The 17,416-nt window shown below is 46.7% G+C and overlaps 1 protein-coding gene across 6 annotated transcripts in view; it reads left to right on the forward strand.

The window, feature by feature from the left end:
- Positions 223-17,416, forward strand: part of KAZN (kazrin, periplakin interacting protein) — a 1,225,220-nt gene continuing 1,208,026 nt past the window's right edge. For all 6 annotated transcript variants that reach the window (XM_011541074.4, XM_005245795.6, XM_011541080.4 and 3 more), the window contains exon 1: positions 223-1,155. In XM_011541074.4, the coding sequence (XP_011539376.1) occupies positions 1,035-1,155 (121 nt within the window). In that variant the 5' untranslated portion in view covers positions 223-1,034. The remainder of the gene's footprint in view (positions 1,156-17,416) is intronic.

Raw genomic sequence — 17,416 nt, forward strand, 5'->3', positions numbered from 1 at the left:
TACACAGTAGGGTTGGGTCGGCTAAGATGAAGTACTCAGATCTCTGTATCACCGGAGCGCCCTAGGGGATGTGTGGCATTTTCTCCTTTTCTCTTCTTGGTCTCTGGATTTTATCGCAGGCAGTCGGGTCTCCCGTGCCTGGCACTTCCTTGGCTGTGGGCAGGAAGAGGTTACAGCAGCCCTGGAGCCTGCTGGGCTGAGTTAGCACTTCCCTCCGCATCCAGAATATCTCCCAGGAACTGCCCCCTTTGCATCGCCGCACCGGGGTGGCGGCGCGGGCTGGGGGCCGCTGCAGCAGGTCTCAGTCCCTCCCTGCTGCCACGCGAGGAGTGGGGAGCGGCAGGGCCTAGGCGTCCCGAGTGGAGGATGAGCCGGAGACGCCTGCGGGTCCGGAGCTGCACCGCGCCCGTGCGGCCCGCGCCGCCCGCCTCCCGCGCTCTCCCTTTGGCAGCAGCCGGACGCCTGGCGCGTGCAGGACCTGGGGCCGCGGCGCTCGCGCGGGGACGCGGGAGCCCAGGGTCGGCGCTGCAGGCAGCGGGGCGGCGCCAGCAAGGCCAGCTCCCCGGGGACCCTGGGGCAGCCTCGCGCCCTGCCTGCCTCCCTGGACTGAGACGCCGCGGGGCCTGGGCAGCGCTCTGCCGGCAGCTGGTGCTGGAACACAGCCGGGGCTGAGCTGCTCCCGGGGACCCTGCCCCTTCCAGGTGACCCCAGGAGAAGCAGCCCCGGGCCGGGGGGCAAGTTCCAGCCACCCTTCCGGGTCAAGAAGCCACGACTCCTGGTTAGGGGGAAACTTAGATTTTTCTTTTGCATGGAACTGCTGCTGTGCAAGATTTGCCAAGGCTTATAGGGTTTCATTTTTTACTTGACTGGTGTTTGAGAAAAACTGCAAGGAAAGGGTGGCGAAAGGAAGAAACACTATAAACTTTGGGGGCGGGGACATTTTCTTGGAAGTGACAAGTAGCCTCAGATCTGCAGTTCCTGGGCCAGCGACGGCATCCTTTGCTCTGACACTCCAAGGGTCTGGACGCTGCCACATGACCAACACCAAAGACCCCAAAAGAGCCATGGAATCCACGCTGGCGACATCCAATTCTGCCACAGGCCCCGTCACCTTCTCCCACGTCTTTGGTCAGCAGTGCCAACTTATGCAAGCAGGTAGGAATTGCGTCGTGTGTCATGTGCCCAGAGAATGGGAAGTGGAGCGTTATCCCGGGTCCCCAAAAACAGCGGTCTGTGTGTGTCTGTGTGTCTGTCAGTCTACCTCATCTCTTTCTTGATATAATGTGGGATGTAAGACTTAACTAGCTAGTGAAATGTTTGCCTGGCATTTATCACTGTAAAAGATAAAGTTTTTAGGACTTGCCATGAGACAACGCGCTGCTTTTGCAATGAGTGAGGGGCCTTGTTTGTCCTTCGTCATCGATTTTCTCTGTGGCTAGCTGGGGGGTGAAGGAGGGTGCGTCAGGATGGATCTGATGATGCCATGCTGTGGCCATCTTTTGAGGCCAGGTGCCAGTCGTAGCCTGGTTGCCTTTGTCAGCTTGCCTCTCTCTGCTCCTAAGAGTTATGTTTAATCTATGCCCCCCCAGCCCCTGCTGGAGTAACTTCCATGCTTATAAGTGTCTGCTCTGAGCAGCCTCTCCCAGGCTTTGACTTGGTTGTGGGGATTCCTCATTAGTCTGTGCTCATGAATTTGTCTTCCAAATGGCTCACGTTTTATACAGAAGGGAAAGATTGGCATGGGCTGCGGGCCTTATAACCCATGCTAGCCATCTTGCTAGGATGCACATGTGGTCACATAAAAAAAAAAAGGTGAGGATGGATGGCTTGGTGCAAATAGTCACCATGCTCAAACTCACAAGTGGTGCTTAAGACATGCTTATGATTGGGTTGGAGTCACACACGAAATAGGATGCCTGTTTCTCGACTTTTTTGGCGTTAATTCTCACTGGGAAAACAACCACACATTCCTCCAATGTTTTCCTGGGTGTTATAGGGTTAATTGTGGATTTTGACCGTGAGTCTCAGGAAGATGGTGAGACGAGCACTGTATTAGGAGTCTGGGGGCCTGAGTCAGTGTTGATGCTTTCATTGGGTAGTTGCATGACCTTGGAAATTGCAGACTGCACCCCCCTTCCTGGGGTATCCGTCCCCTGCTGCAAAACAAGAGAACTGGATTCAGGGCTGCTGGGTCCATCCAGGCCTGAGATTCGGTGAGCTCAGAGGAGCACAGCTTGGTGGAGAAGACACACTGGAGCTGGTTTCTAAAACTGGATGTGTCTGCACAGAGAGGCAGCTCGTGGAGTGGGTGAGTGAGGGCTCTGGAGCTGACTGCTGGGTTGGGGTCCCAGTTTCACTTATTAAAAACTGTGTGATCTCAGGCAAGTTACTTAGCCTCTGTATGCCTCAGTTTCCTCTTTTGTAAAACGGTGCTACTAGGCACTCCATAAGGTCATTGCAAAGATTAATTAAGTTAATATGTGAAAACATCCTTCTATGGGTCAGTCAAGGCATCTCTGTTTGCAGGGAGGGGCATAGCTGCCTTTGGTAGTAGACAATGGAAGCATTGAACACACACCCTTTGCCACCCACTGCACTCCTAACTTGATTTTGGTTTGTCCAGAAGGTTGAAAATCTCCCACTCCATACATCTGTGGAATATTTTATCTGGAATGGATTAGGTAGGAGGGCTCAGAAGCTTTCCTGGACTGAGGTTCCCTTGCCTTGCCTTTCTACTTCTCTGAGGATCCTGTGGGAAGGCACGTCGGATTTCTAAAGTACCTCCCCTGCGGCTTCATTCACTTTCTTTTAGAAGCACCCAGGCCTAAATCAGGCCATGAAATCCTCTGCCTCTTTTTTAAAAAAACATCCTTTATGTCAAGAGAGCAATGCAACATGGAATAATAATGACCAGCAGTCTCCAGGGAGAACACTCTCCCTGAAGAAACGCAAAGAGGAATCATTAACCTTAAGTCAAAAGAGCTCACTCAATTAGGACGCGAAAGGGATGGAGACCAACACTGATACGTCTCCAGCCAGCCATTTACAGTCCAGCAGGTATCACAAACGAGATCTTAAGTGTATGTGAAAATGATTCGCAGACTCTAGGGGTTTACAGCTGGGTGAATCACATATATTCCCAAGTGAGAGGTAGCTACAGATCCCACGTACTCACCGAGTACCTACTATGTACTGTGCACGGTGCCAGGAACCACAGGATCTGGAGAGTAAGTTACGGCTCATACTCCTGGAGATGTTGGTCTCGCTGGTGTAAACATAAAGCATATTGAGGAAAAGAGAATTACACAAAATGTGACTTTTCAATGATACCATTTCCTGAACAACCCTTCTTATATGTTTTACATAAACTATCTCCTGTAATTTTCATAATTTTTTTTTTTATTTTTTGAGACAGGGTCTTGCTTTGTCACCCAGGCTACAGTGCAGTGGCATGATCATAGCTCACTGCAACCTCAACCTCCTAGGCTCAAGTGGTCCTGCCACCTCTGCCTCCTGCTACCTATGCTGGTCTAGGGCAGGGGTTGACAAAGGTTTTGTTTCTTTTGCAAAGAGCCAGATAATAAATATTGTTGGCTTTATAGTCTACAAGTTTTCGCTCATGACTACTTGGCTCTACCGTTGTAGCATGAAAGCAGCCACAGACAAAGTGTATACGAATGGGCATGGCTGTGTGCCAATAGAACTTTATTTGCAAAAGCAAATGGTGGGCCAGGCTGTAGTGCAGTGGCATGATCATAGCTCACTGCAGCCTTGACCTCCTAGGCTCAAGCGATCCTCCCATCTCAGTCTCTCAAGTAGCTGGGACCACAGGCATGTACCACCATTCCAGGTTAATTTTTTAATTTTTTTTGTAGAGATGAAGTCTCGTTATGTTGCCCAGGCTGGTCTTGAACTCCTGGGCTCAAGCGATCCTTCTGTCTCAGCCTCCCCAGATACTGGGATTATAGGAGTGAGCAACCATGCCAGGCTCCTGTAATTTTTAAAAATCCTACCCAATTTCCATAGGCAAAGGAAATACACAGGGGTTGCCCGCATGCCCACCTTCACACCATTTGGGAAGGAAAGCCTTGGTCTGATGCTCAGGCCTTTGCCTTTAACCTCTAAATTGCATAGTCCCTGGTGACAACTGGGGCTAATCTTTTATATCTGTAAGTATCTCATGTCTTAGGAGAAAAAGTTGATTTCCAGAAATGGAGCGGTAAGGATGCTTAAAGAGGTGGGAATGGGAGGGGGCTGAGCACTAAAGGGCGCCTAGGATTTAGTGGGGCAGCAGAGATAGGTTTCTTGGAGGCAGGGCAAAATTGGGCACAGATGAGACCAATAAAAGCTTTGACCCAATTAGCAGTAGTGGGAGCATGAAGGTCTGGTGGGGCCATGGGAAGAGCATGTGGTTCTTTCTCATTTAGTCCCAGTTTGGCTGTTGCTGGCTGTGTGAGCTTCAAACCAAAGGTTGGCAAGCTACATCCCTGGGGCCAAATCTGGCCCACTACTTGCTTTTGTAAATAAAGTTTTATTGGCACACAGCCATGCCCATTTATGTACATTTTGTCTGCGGCTGCTTTTGTGCTACAGTGGCAGAGTCAAGTAGTCATGAGTGAAACCATGCGAACCATAAAGCCAATAATACTTATTATCTGGCTCCTTGCAGAAAAAACAAAAACTTTGCTGACCCCTCCCCTAGACCAGCATAGGAAGCACAGAATGGGGTTAGACAGAATTTATGTGGCACAATGTGAAAGGGATCAAGCCTGAGAGTGTGGCTCTGAAAGATGCTTATTTGCTGGTACCCTTGATGCTACATGGTGCTGTGGTTTTCTCATGTTCTCTTCCACCATCCACACACGAGGCCACACTCTCAGGCTCATACATGTATGTAGGGGTTGCTTCAGGAAGCTTTTAGAATAGATCTGAAAGTCCTGGCAAGAACAGAGTTCTCAGCATGTGCCCAAATCTATAGCACCTGTGCTAGACAAACTCACATCTGCCTCATTTTCATGCCACCCTGCAGGGTGGATGGAGCATTCCCTAGTTAACCAGTGAGATTTCCATGTTGGCAGAGTTGAGATTTAAACTTCAGGCAGCCCAACCCCAAAGGCTGTGCTCAAAAAAGGCAATTCCACAGCTTCTGCAAAGGGTTTTAAAAAATGTGTCTTGTCTCGCTCAAGGATTTGGAGGAGAGAGCAGCATTTTGGATCTTGCAGTGGCTTTGATGCTGTTGCCCACCTTCCTCCCTCTCCAGGTCCTTCATCTCACTTAATAGTCCTGTGAGGAAGTTCATCCTCTTCTATTTCTAACCCCCCACCCAAATTTCTTTTACTTGACTTTGCCCCTGCTATAGCCCAAAATGGTAGGTGAGAAGTTGGTCTGGCCAGGCAGGCATGACCAATGGAGGCTGCCGCTGTCCATTCGTGCTGCCTGACCTCCTTCAGGTGGGAGCTTAAGGCCACACTCCCAGGCAGGGTATCTGCTGATATCGTAATATTCAGAAACATACAGGGGTTCAGCTGTGTCCAACATCTGAGGATGTTGGGGGGACCTCCGAGGGGATAGGCAGTACAGACTCGAGCTGGTATTCTTGTGGTCTCAGTGCAGCTGGACAAGTTCCCTTGTCTATATTCTCCTGGGTTCCCAAAATGTTTAACTGGACACCCTCTACCCCCTGACCTGGCATTTGGCTGCGTCTCTGCAGAGGGCTGTTGCCCCATCCCCTGGCCTGGCAGTCTATTGGTTGGGTGACCCCCAGCTTGCAGACCATAGCTGGTGGGGACTTCATCTATTGTGCCAAGTTCTGACTTGCTAAGTTGCGCGTGTGTTACGGAAGTTGATTTCCAACCCGTTTCATGTGGGCAGAAAGCATTTCTGCAGTTACCTTGCTTGACCCAAACAACTAAAGTCATTTTATCTAATATGTCCTGCTGACGCTGCATGAATCCAGGCCCAGCTCGTGGAGGGTGGAAGGGAGATGAGGACAGGAAGGTGACAGGACTTCAGCACCTGGACTGCTGCTGCTTGGCACTGTTCCTGGGCTGCAGCTCTGATGCCACCTGCAAGGCTCCTTGTTTGCATGATTAGTGAGGGATTGGTCCCCTGCACCACACCATGCAGAAACTCAGACATGTGCAAGCCATGCCTGTCTGTCTGTCTCTCTCACCTGTCAGACTGGTACCTATTATCATGCTCCTTCTGAAGGCTGCCAGCTGAACCCCTTTCCCTGCCTTTTAAACAATATAGGGGTCCTTCTGAATATGGAGCCTAGCTACATTTGGAAGCCAATTGCCAAATTTATAACTAAGAGGGCAAGGGAACTAACATTTATGGCATCTGTGGTGAGCTGTGCACATTGGGGACTTTTGCAAAAGTTAAACAGACGAAGATGAGCAAAGAAGCAAGCACACACTTCCTGTCATTCCGTCCATGGGAATGGGAGCACAGCTTTAAGGTTTCCTTGTATATCCCTGAGGGGTGGTGTGTAGGACCTGTTTCTTGCCTGGCTGTTTCTCCAGTGGAAACAGTGTGTTCTGACATTCCAGAAAAAGATTCGCCATGGCGAACTGCTGGCAATTGGGCACAACCATAGGTGGCACTTATTGGGTACTTATTCTGGGATGGTTATTGTGCTACATTCTTTACATATTACCTTGTTTCACCTTGTTGCATCCTCAGAAGGCAAGTGAAATCATCCCCATTTTATAGATGAGAAAACTCGAGGCCCGTAAAGAGAAATATTTCTCTTAACTAGTTAGTAGTTGGGCCAGGATTCAAATTCAAGCCATCTGGATCTGAAGTCCCTATTTATTCCTGTTCTTCCTTCCAGACTGTCCTCCAGAAATTAATCTCCAGAAATGTTGCTGAACATCTGTGCCAGCAAATGACTGTTTGTTGAATGAATGTGGAATCTGTTAACACTGGGGTGACAGTCACTCCTCATAACATGTTATGTTGGGTTGTGATTTCTGTTCATTGATGTCTTCTGTGTTAGACTCTAAGCTTCCTGAGGTCAACAACTGTTATCTTGGTTGTCCTTTTTTTTTTTTTTTTTGAGGTGGAGTCTCGCACTGTCGCCCAGGCTGGAGTGCAGTGGTGCGATCTCAGCTCACTGCAACCTCCGCCTCCTGGGTTCAAGTGATTCTTGTGCCTCAGCCTCCTGAGTAGCTGGGATTACAGGTTTGTGCCACCATGCCCAGCTAATTTTTGTATTTTTAGTAGAGATGGGGTTTCACCATGTTGGTCAGTCTGGTCTCGAACTCCTGACCTCAGGTGATCTGCCTGCCTCGGCCTCCCAAAGTGTGCCCGGCCTATCTTGGTTGTCTTTGGACCCTCTGTGCCTTATATGGTGCTGACAATGTAGCAGCTTTCATCAGTAAGATATTGACGCATCTGTTTTAGACCATATCATTAGTCATTTTATGGGGCGGCTGTCATCCTTATGAGTAGCTGCTAGCATGATGAAATGGTGTTAGTGGAATCTGGCAAAGCAAAATTGCGGTTATGTTCATTCTCTTTCTCAAGACTAATTCTTCTTGATAGTCCTCAAGTTTGCCTCGACCTGGATTCCAGGTCAGTGGGGAAAACAACTTATTCCAATAGTCCCTTGGGCTGATCAGACTGAGTACTCTGAACTCCAGGCCTTAAAGGGAAAGAGACACATGTGAGGCACAATGGACAAAGAGGTGGGAGTCAGGATTTCATTCCTTTCCTCCAGCAGCCCCTCCCTGCCCAATCCCTCACCCTCAGCCCCAAGGTAAAGTATCCCCTACCAGCCCCTGGTGATCTCCTTGGGACTCATGCAGCTGGTGGTGCAAGCACTTACTGTCGATGATGCCCCTTGGACCACTGCTTGACCTCAAGAAGTTCCTACAAGTTGCTTATTTTCTTGAGGAAAAAGCAACAGGGTGAAGTGGGGTCCTCATAGCCTTGGAGTAAGCAGCGTACACAGTGGTCTCAGCTTGTGAGCAGCACGGGCCTCCCACATCACTACATCAGAAGTAGTCTTATTTCTCCAGAGACCTATTTGTCAGAGGCAGGGGCATGTGATTTTTAGTATGGACTTAAGAGCTCCATGGCTTGGGTTCAAATTCCACTTCTGCCGTTCACTAGCTGTGTGACCTTGGGCAAGTACCTTAACCTCTCTGTGCCACATTTTTCTCATTTGCACAAGGAGAATAATAGTTTACTACTTCATAGGGTTGTGATGAGTCTGACAATGAGTCATTATGTGTAAAATGTTTTTCACAGTGCCTGACACAGAATGCTATAGTAGATCAACATTTGCTGTAACTATTACTATTTGTTATTAGTGCAATTGCTGTATTTTGTTTAATGAGAGGAAGTTTAATAACACTAGGATTAAAACATTCCTTCTGGTCATGTCTTCCTGACAAGTAAAAAAGTTGCTACTTGTTTTCCTTGGCTAATCATTGAAAAAAAAAAAACAAAAAACAAAAAAAGAAAACCTCAACATTTTTTCTTTTCTTGATTCCCAAGGCCAAGAACCGACCGGTTATAAAAACAGCCACCCCCCGTCCCCTCCAATCACAAAAGGATGTTTAAAGAAGGGCCCTCATTGGACCGAGTTTGCCTGGGGTTTGTGTGTCTCTTGCTGGTATAATTAACAGTATCAACGTTCATTCTCAAGCATGTCTTTGTTTGCATGTTAAATCATACGGTCACCCTTAATAAGAGGCAGCTGAGTAAATAAAATTCCAATATTACTTAAACAAAATGTGGATCATCTGATCCCGGAGGAAGCAGTTTAAGGTTAAAAAGACAGTCACGGGAAGAAGCGGATATTTGGTCTGAAACAAGGGGCCGGACAGGTCAGGTGAGCTGGGTGCCACTTCTCAGAGATTCTATTAGGATTTCCAGTGTTGCCAGATCATGTTTTCCAAGAGAAACCTGGAGTCCCAATGTTCCTATTAAGCCCTCCAATTTGTGGATGTGTATTACCAATGAAAGGTTTGAAATTCCAGAGGCCAAACTCTCCAGCTGCGTCCTGCCAGTGGGCCACCAGGTTACAAGCTCTGGCTTAAGCGTTCAGTTCTGGCTAGCAGGCTTCCCATGCCAGCTTAAAAGCTGCTACCGGCATCAGCGATACTCTTAACCTTTTGCTCTTGTTTCAACCTTGTGTGTGAGATATCCACTGTTTGACAGGCATCTGAGTTCTGCCACGTGTGAACACATGTGTCTCTCCAGCTGTCAGCTTCTTGCATCCTTGCCTAGCTTGTTGTACGATGAAGTATGCACTAGGATTGTGATAAAGGTGCTTTACTTGTGCTACTGATGTTTGCTCCCTTTCCTTGGTCATGGGTTCCTGAAGGCCTGGCAGGGGATGTGGATAAGAAACACATAGCCTCAAGGCTCTGAGGCATTTCAGTTTTGGACCCGAGATTATCCAGTGCAGAAAGGGAAGGCCTTAGCCGAATTACTGATACACACGGCCCCAGGCAGCCCCGGGGTGGTCAGCCACAGAGCTGGCTCTCTGCCCTTGATGGTGGCACCACAAGGCAAGAGGGATGTCTCTGGATTTGGTGAGATAATGGGGGCTGTTTTTGAGAAAGAAGAAAAATGGCCCATTTGTGGGAGAATAACTTGGCGATCCTTCTTTACCCTTGGTTCTTTCTTCTGAAAGTGCTGGGATTAAATGACCGGAGGGTTTCCTCCTTTGAAACTGGCTTCCATGATACCAAAAGTCCATAAGGAGTGGGACCGTGAAGGTGCTTTGTCTTCCCCAGGGTGTAGGGGGTATATACTTAGCATTTAGAGTTGGTCTCATTCTTGGACATGTGTAGTCAGCCGGCTTAACTTCATGCAGGCTGTTTTCATTAGGCCTGATGTGGATATCTAAACCAGCTTCCAAACAACTTTAAGAGTTGATTTTTATCACTTGTGTTCCCAAACCCTGGCGGCTACCAGAGGCAGGAAGGGAGACAGGGAAGAGGGGGAATAAAAAGAGGCTGATGAATGGGTGCAAAAATACAGGTAGGTAGAAGGAATACGATCTAGTGTTTGATAGCTCTGGAGGGTGACTGTAATTAATTGCGTATTTCAAAATACCTAGAGGAGAAGAATGGGAATGTTCCTGGCATAAAGAAAAATGTTTGAGATGATGAATATTTCTCCCTATTACCCTGATTTGATCATTACACATTATATGAATGTAATGAAATATCACATGCACCCTCAAAATATGAACTATTATGTATCAATCAAAATACATAAGTAAATAAATTGAGGAAAAAGCTCTTAAACAGACAAGCTTTCCCTCCCATTCTTCCTGAATAAAATGTAATGGCTGTAGGTTTAACAAAACCTCCATGATGGTCCCCATGATATGGCCATGGGTGAGTAAGGCTCAGCCCGTGATGGGAACCACAAGGCAAGAAGCAAATGAGGTGGGTTTCCACATGGGTCAGTGGGAAACCCCAAAGCATCAGGGATTATTTGAAGTCTTAACACTGACAATGTGATGTTTGGAGTAGGGAAGATTATAAAAGTCTTGCTGTAAAATGCTTTGAAAATATAAAATTATATACTAATGATGTACTGGCATTCCCAGCCACCCATCTCTCTGGGCGATGATGTTCAGACCTTGATGAAGAACCCACTTGTGGTTTTATGGTCTTGGACCACATTTTTCTTTTGGACATTAGTTCCTTGACCAATTCAGATCACATCTGTTTTCTAAGTATGTAAGGAATGAGCTAGATGAAACAGACATGGAGTCTGGACTTTCATCTGAAAAGTAACTGCGTTTTTGTCGGCCCTTTATATCAAGCATCCTCTTTAGTGCCTGCATTTACCTTTTGTTGTCATCTACAGGGTCTAGTGCCAGTGTGGCTAGGAGGGAGACTCAGCCTCGGACCCCAAAGGGAAGGAGAGCCAGTGGGGGACTCCCATCGAAGGACAAAGACAATGTCATGATGGCGGCTGAGTGGCCAGGCTAGATTCCACTTGGCTGGACTTCCTGAAACTTGAAGTCTTCTCTTTGATCTCCCCAAAGCCATTACCAGTTACATATAGTGAAGACGAGTTAGGTCACTTAAAGAAAGAACTGGTCTGGGGACAGGAGTAAAGGGAAAAAGGGAGGAGGATGTTTTCATCTCTGCCAGGCTAGGGAATTAGAGGAGTGATGGGCAGGAGGAAGACGGCCACTGCTGGGGAGAGACTTAAAGAGATTTTGAGCAGCTCTAAGAGGGTGGTGCTCTTAGCTACTTGAAAAGACAGAAGTTTTGACCTTGATTCCATGGTGAGAAGTGAATCTGAAAAGGAATGTATGTGGTGGGTCCCTCTGAGTCCCTGGGTGACTGCAGCCCCAGTCAGGAGCACCAGAAGCAACAGGTCTCCAGGAAGGGATGCGAGCTCTAGAGAGGCATGAACCACTCCGCACAGAGACATGGTAGACTCAGAAATGTGTCAGGAAATGTGGAAAGGTCTATTTGGAGACTGAGGCAGGGTCTACAATGTCATCAGTGCTTAACATGGAGCAGTTGTCTGAAAGGCTGGGTAGAGGGATCCAAAGAAGGACTAGGGCAAGGGAGCAGAGGATGGAGGGGCAGAAGGCCGGGCGAGGAGGTGCCCTGGGATGCTGGAGGCCAGCATGCACCTTCCTCAGCACAGAGGAAATAGCCACTTCTAAGACAGGTGAAAAGGAATAGTATCTCAGGAAGGGAACCCCTCATGCCTCCTCCCTTCCATTAATAGGCAACACCCTGTGGCCTGTTAAGCAGAAAGTATTGCTGGGAGAACTCCCAGGTTGGAGAAGTTGGGTTGTAGGGATCAGGCCAGTCACAGCTGAGATGATCATCCATGATCAAGACCAATCTGCACTGGAGGCCAGGACAAGCTACAGCAAAGCCTCCACAGCTGGGTCTCTAGAATGTTTAGTTTTATTTTGGCTACTGTTACTGGATAATGTCAGCTGGATATAGATTTCTAAGTTGAGTTATTTTCTCTCAACATTTTGGAAAGGATGTTCCTCTGTTTCTGGTTCCTGCTGTTGCTGTTGGTCTTTGATTTTGGGGTCATTTCTCTGTAGGTGATCTCTCTTTTCTATGGATTTGCTTTGAAAGTCTTTGTCCTGGAAGCTCTGTAGTTTCACTACAGTGTAGCTAGGGGTAGGTCTAATTTTATTTATCCTATCTGGGGTTTGTGCTTCTCAGATCTGAGGATTTGCATCTCAGATGCAAATCATGTAACTCATGTTCAGTTACTTATTTCTTTGAACACTGATTCCCATTCTTTCTATCCCTCCTTTAGAAATTCCTTTGTGACTTGTGTTAGACTTCTCAATTTGAACTCTTTTTCATATTTTCCATCTTTGTCTCTCTGTTGCATTCTGGATAATGACTTTAAAAACTATCTTCTGGTTCATTAATTTTCTTTCTAGCTGTGTCTAATCTTCAGCTGAACTCAGGCAATTCATTTTTCATTGAATGTCTTTTTTTAACCTCTAGAAGTTCTCATTGAATAGTTTTCAAATCTCCCAGGTATTATTTTTTAAGATAATCTTTGTCTCTCTTGCTCTTGATCATATGTTTTATTTATTTAATCATTTAAAATTAATACTTATCTGATAAAGGAATTTTATAATCCAATTCTGGCACTCCTGAGTACATTTCTTCTGCTTTTCTGTTGACTCATGTCTAAGATAGCTTATTACCTCATGCACTTTGCAAGATTGGATTTTGAGCTTATTCTAGGAATTTTATCTGTGAGATGTTATTACCGTAGGTAATGTTAATTTCCAGGCTGGATATTTCCATACATTCCCTGGTAGTATAAATTTGAACCCCAACTCATATGAGGGTAAGCTTGAAGTAATGAGGTATTAAGGGAGATCACTCTCAACCCCTCTCAATCCAGGACTCAGACTGAGGCAGACAAGCTTTCTTACCTCCCCGTGCCTGTGTTCAGGACCCACATCCAAGTCTCATCTTCCCTGATGTCGAGCCCTCTAAGATAGCTGGTGTGTGAATATGTGTGTGGAAAGTATTGTAGTTCTAATTCCTCTATCCCAGCATAACCTAAAACCTTGCCATCTATCCCATGTGGCTAATAAAACTCTAGCATTCATTTTACAAGATAAGCAATTGCCTCCGAACAGCCAAAATCTTAGTGTGTGCTATCACTCTGGTTTTCAGTTTTGTAATTTTTTTTTGTTAGTTTGTTTTGTGGATGTATTAATTTCCTATAGCCATTATAACAAATTACCACAACCTCGGTGACTTAAAACGACAGAAACATATTATCTCATTGTTCCGCAGGCCAGAAATCCAAAATCAGTATCTCTGGACTGAAATCAAGGTCTCAAAAGACCTGAGTTCCTTCTGGGAGCGCCAATCTCTCTCCATGGTTACCCAGCTCCTCCTTCTCATCTGTGTATGTGATCTCCCTCTGACTCTCTCTTCTAAGGACGCTTGTGATGGCAATTAGAGCCCACTCGGATAATCCAGGATAATCTCCCCATTACTAGATTCTTAGCTTCAATCACATCATTTGAAAAAAGAGACCCTTGTCCCAAATAACATAACATTTACAAGTTCCAGGGATTAGGATGTAAATGTCTTTTGCAGGGGGCATTTTCAGCCCACTACAGTACATTTCTGTTACTTTAAGAGTTCAGTTTTGTATTTCTAAGGATGCCTATTGTATTTTCAAATGTTTTATAGACTTTCCCCTGAGTCTACCATACTAACTCCCTGAAAAAGAAATAGAGCAAACAACCTCCAGGCTGGAGAGAGAAATACAGAGCCTCCTGGGGGCGGGCTTCGTTTTCGGAGAGGCAGGAGTTGGAGATGTTGAGGCGTAGGTGCTTATAGGTGTGAGGAAATGATGCTTCTAAAACCCTGTGGGGCAGAAAGGCTGTACTACTGCTGAGAAGATGCTGCTGCCTGGGCTGGACCGGCCCAGGTTTCCAGTCTGCCTCTTCCCGTTCTTCTGGCCTAACTTTGTCTCTTGGCTTCCATATATGTGTGATCGACCTTGGTTTACTGCTCTCCTTTGACCTTTAATGTCTTCCATTCTGACAGCCAGAACTGACCTTAAGTCTGTTTCTTATTATCCCCTTTGCCTCAGACACTGGACAAGACATTCACCTGGGACTGTCTCAGGGACTCACTCTGTGCCAACTGGGTGTGGCCAAAACCAGAGCAGGGCCAGGACCAGAAATGACCATTATTACACAGCATGCTATGCTGCAGATGCCACCATGGGAGAGAGACGAATGCATTCCTGAAAATTCCATTCTGGGGCACATCTTCATTCCTAGCGACAGTCAGGCAAACAGACCAAGAGACTGTGTCATGCTTGTTGGGATTCTTCGGGAAGTAAGGCTTCCCGCCTGTGCAAAGGCCATTGCAAAGTGAAATACCCAGTGTCTCCAGGTAATGCGTGGAGTGGTTATGGTGGGCTTCTTGTTCTATTAGCTCAGAGAAAAGAAATATCTATGTGGGTGATTTTTGTTCCTGCCTCTTTTGATGTGGTGTCTCTGTCTTCAGTTAATGTGAATGGCTAAAACCTTGATGAAAAGTGTTTTTGCAGCTGGATTTCCCCTGAGAAGGTATCTCCACCATGCAATAGAATCTTCCAGCACCACAGGGCACCCCCTCCAGGACTAGAGTCCCACTGAAGGCTGGAAACACATTTTGTGCCTCTCAAGCCAGTATTAGGGATCAGTTGGCGAATGTCTCCCTATAGTGAGGTGGAGTGGCCCCTGGGGACTGTGCCAGGATGCTTGGCAGGGTGGGAGCTAGGACCTAAATTCAGTTTAATAGCAGGAAGTGGTAGAGAAGACCCCAGCCCCGGGGTATGGGCCCAGGCCTGGCAGAATGAGTGACAGGATTTAAGGCAAGGCCTTTGAGGGGTGTGTATGAGGCTGTGTGTGTGTGTGTTGGGTGGGTGGGAATGGGGGGTCTTGGAATGAACTAGGCTGGCATTATCTGGTCTCTGTTACTCTCAGGTCCAAGCTCTCTTATCCAGGAGGAAATTCTAAAGGTAACCCAGTCCCTGGAGCCACTGATGTTATCTCCTGGTCCAATAGCCCTTCCACAAACAACCCAAATGTATGCTATGTGTACCCAGTTTCAAAATATTTTCTGGGAAACATAAGGCTGAATTAGTCTGGCAACCTTCAGACTGGCTTCTCATGAAAGCTCAGTCTCCCCATGAGACATTTTTGGATGGGTTTGGGAGTAACTTCTCCCACCGCAACATTTTTTTTGGCTTGGATGATACTTCTTGTGCCCCTGTTGGGTGAGGTTATAAGACTGTGTAGTTCGTAGAGAAAAAGAGAATGTGCTTGTCCTAAACAAGAGCTGATTCTCTGAGAATTATTGGGGTCTGAAGACAGCAATACTGGTGCACAAATTTATAATATGATTAGCAGTGGTAGCAGGAGATGGAATAGATGACAAGGCAAAGAGAACATTTGCTGTCAGCTGGCCTGCAGGAACTTAATAATTTAAAGAAAGTGCCAGCCACATTGTGGCAGTCCATTTTTCTACTTGAAACAGAATTCCTGGACTTTGTTTCATACTGAAGACGTGGTTTATTTTTAGTTACATCAGAAAGCCTGTAGCTGGGGTTATTCAGAAAGCTGGACTGCCCATGAGAAACAGGCAGCATCAACACATTGTCTTGTGGTTTAGAAAGACTCTCTTGCCTGCTCTAGCATGAAGGACCAGCCACTTGCCTTTGAGGGTAATGAGAGAGGTCATGAGAAAGCTAGGGGGTTTCAAAGCAGTCCACGCCTTCTTGCACAAAGCTATTGCTATAGGCTGAAGCTTGGCTCTTTGGCCTTGACGGCTCTTTGGTCAAGAAAGCTCCAGCCTAAATAGCTAATTCCCCTGGGTCCTAAGTGTTCATTAAAAATCCAGTTTGTCAGGTGGTACCACCCTGGTTGTCCCCAGTTTAAACAAAAGTTCCTTTGTGGACACTGGCAGTTGGAAACGGAAACTTGGAGCCGTGTCGAAGCCAGATGGCAGCCAGCAGAGACTTTATAGCTTTTCTTGGGAAGGCATTGATCACTGATAAACGAACTGGGCATTGCAGAAGAACCCTTTGCCATTATCTTGTCCCTTGGTAAACTAAAGCATGGTGGGGCCTGTACTTCCCTTTCAAGGGTCATAAACTTCTCAAGTGGTGGAACAGGCCCGAGCTAGGATGCTGAGCTGCAAAAATTGTTGTGTGTGCAGAAATCCACGGTGACAAGACCTGTGTTCACCCCAAGTAGCATCATGGCAGAGCTGTTAAGGACTTTCGTGAGCTGGAGAACATAAAATAAACACATGTTTTATGAGACCAAAGAGAGTAAGTACGAGGCTACTCCTTGGGCTGCCTTTTGTTTTCGCAAAGCAGCAGAGCTCGCAGGTTTGCCTCTTCTCCTCGCTTCTTGGTACACGCAGGTGGGTGAAGTCCACCAAGTCAGGGAAAGTCGGTAGGTGCTTTCTTATCCCTACAAGAGGAGAAGATGGGCATTGGCAGGGGGCATTTAGGTATAAACATTTCTTATGGAAGTACAAGGTTATTGATAATCTTAGTGTCCAGCCTTGAATTATGGGATTGGTGGACACACCAGTTAATTTCACTGGTTCTTAAGTACCAACAATAGCAACAATGTATCTGCAAGCTCAGAGTTCAGATAACATCGGGGGTGATTTCAATTAGGAGATAAGACAGTGTGAGTCTTTCTCCTTCCTGGGATGCCTGACAATAAAAGAAAAAGTCTGTAAACCTACGAAAGGCTGTGTTTTTTCAGGGGCAAGAGGGTGAGGAGGGAGGTATTGATTTCTCTCTCTTAGGTAGTGAGGAGGAGAGCTCCCGTCTAGCATTGGAAGGTGGGGGAGGTTGTGAATAAGGGGGAATCTGCCTGGATATGTTCTATCTCAGCCAGGGTTTCCCCCACAAAATGGTCTTCTTGCACCCTGCTTTGCCACCCACCTGTTCCTACACCCACATTTTCTTCAGAGAATTGCAAATCAATACTGAATATTGATTTGGGCTTATTTATTAATAAGCTTGGTCTTATTTAGGATAAAATAAAATAAGACCTTTCTTTCTTGGCTGCTTCTTATGATGAAGGCCTGGTTTAAAAATGTAGCAAGACGAATTAAGCATTTATGAGGGCAGAGTCCTCCTTCTGCTAGCCTTATGGAAAGATTTGGTCTGAGTTGAACCCTGAGAATAAGGTGGGTAATCTGTAGCGGTGGAAATGTAGAAGGGAGACCAGAGGCAGCTCTAGCCCCTCTTCTTGGCTGGCTTCAGGGAATCCGCTTCAAATGTTGAGGCTCATGGAGGCCTCGTTTAAACCCAGATGATGGTGGTCAATCTCACTCCTGAGTGGAGAAGGCTGATTAGGAAGGGCCCAGATGCCACTCCCAATAGCTGGCATTTGGACTGG

The sequence above is a fragment of the Homo sapiens genome, chromosome 1, assembly GCF_000001405.40.
Source record: "Homo sapiens chromosome 1, GRCh38.p14 Primary Assembly".
NCBI lineage: Eukaryota > Metazoa > Chordata > Mammalia > Primates > Hominidae > Homo > Homo sapiens.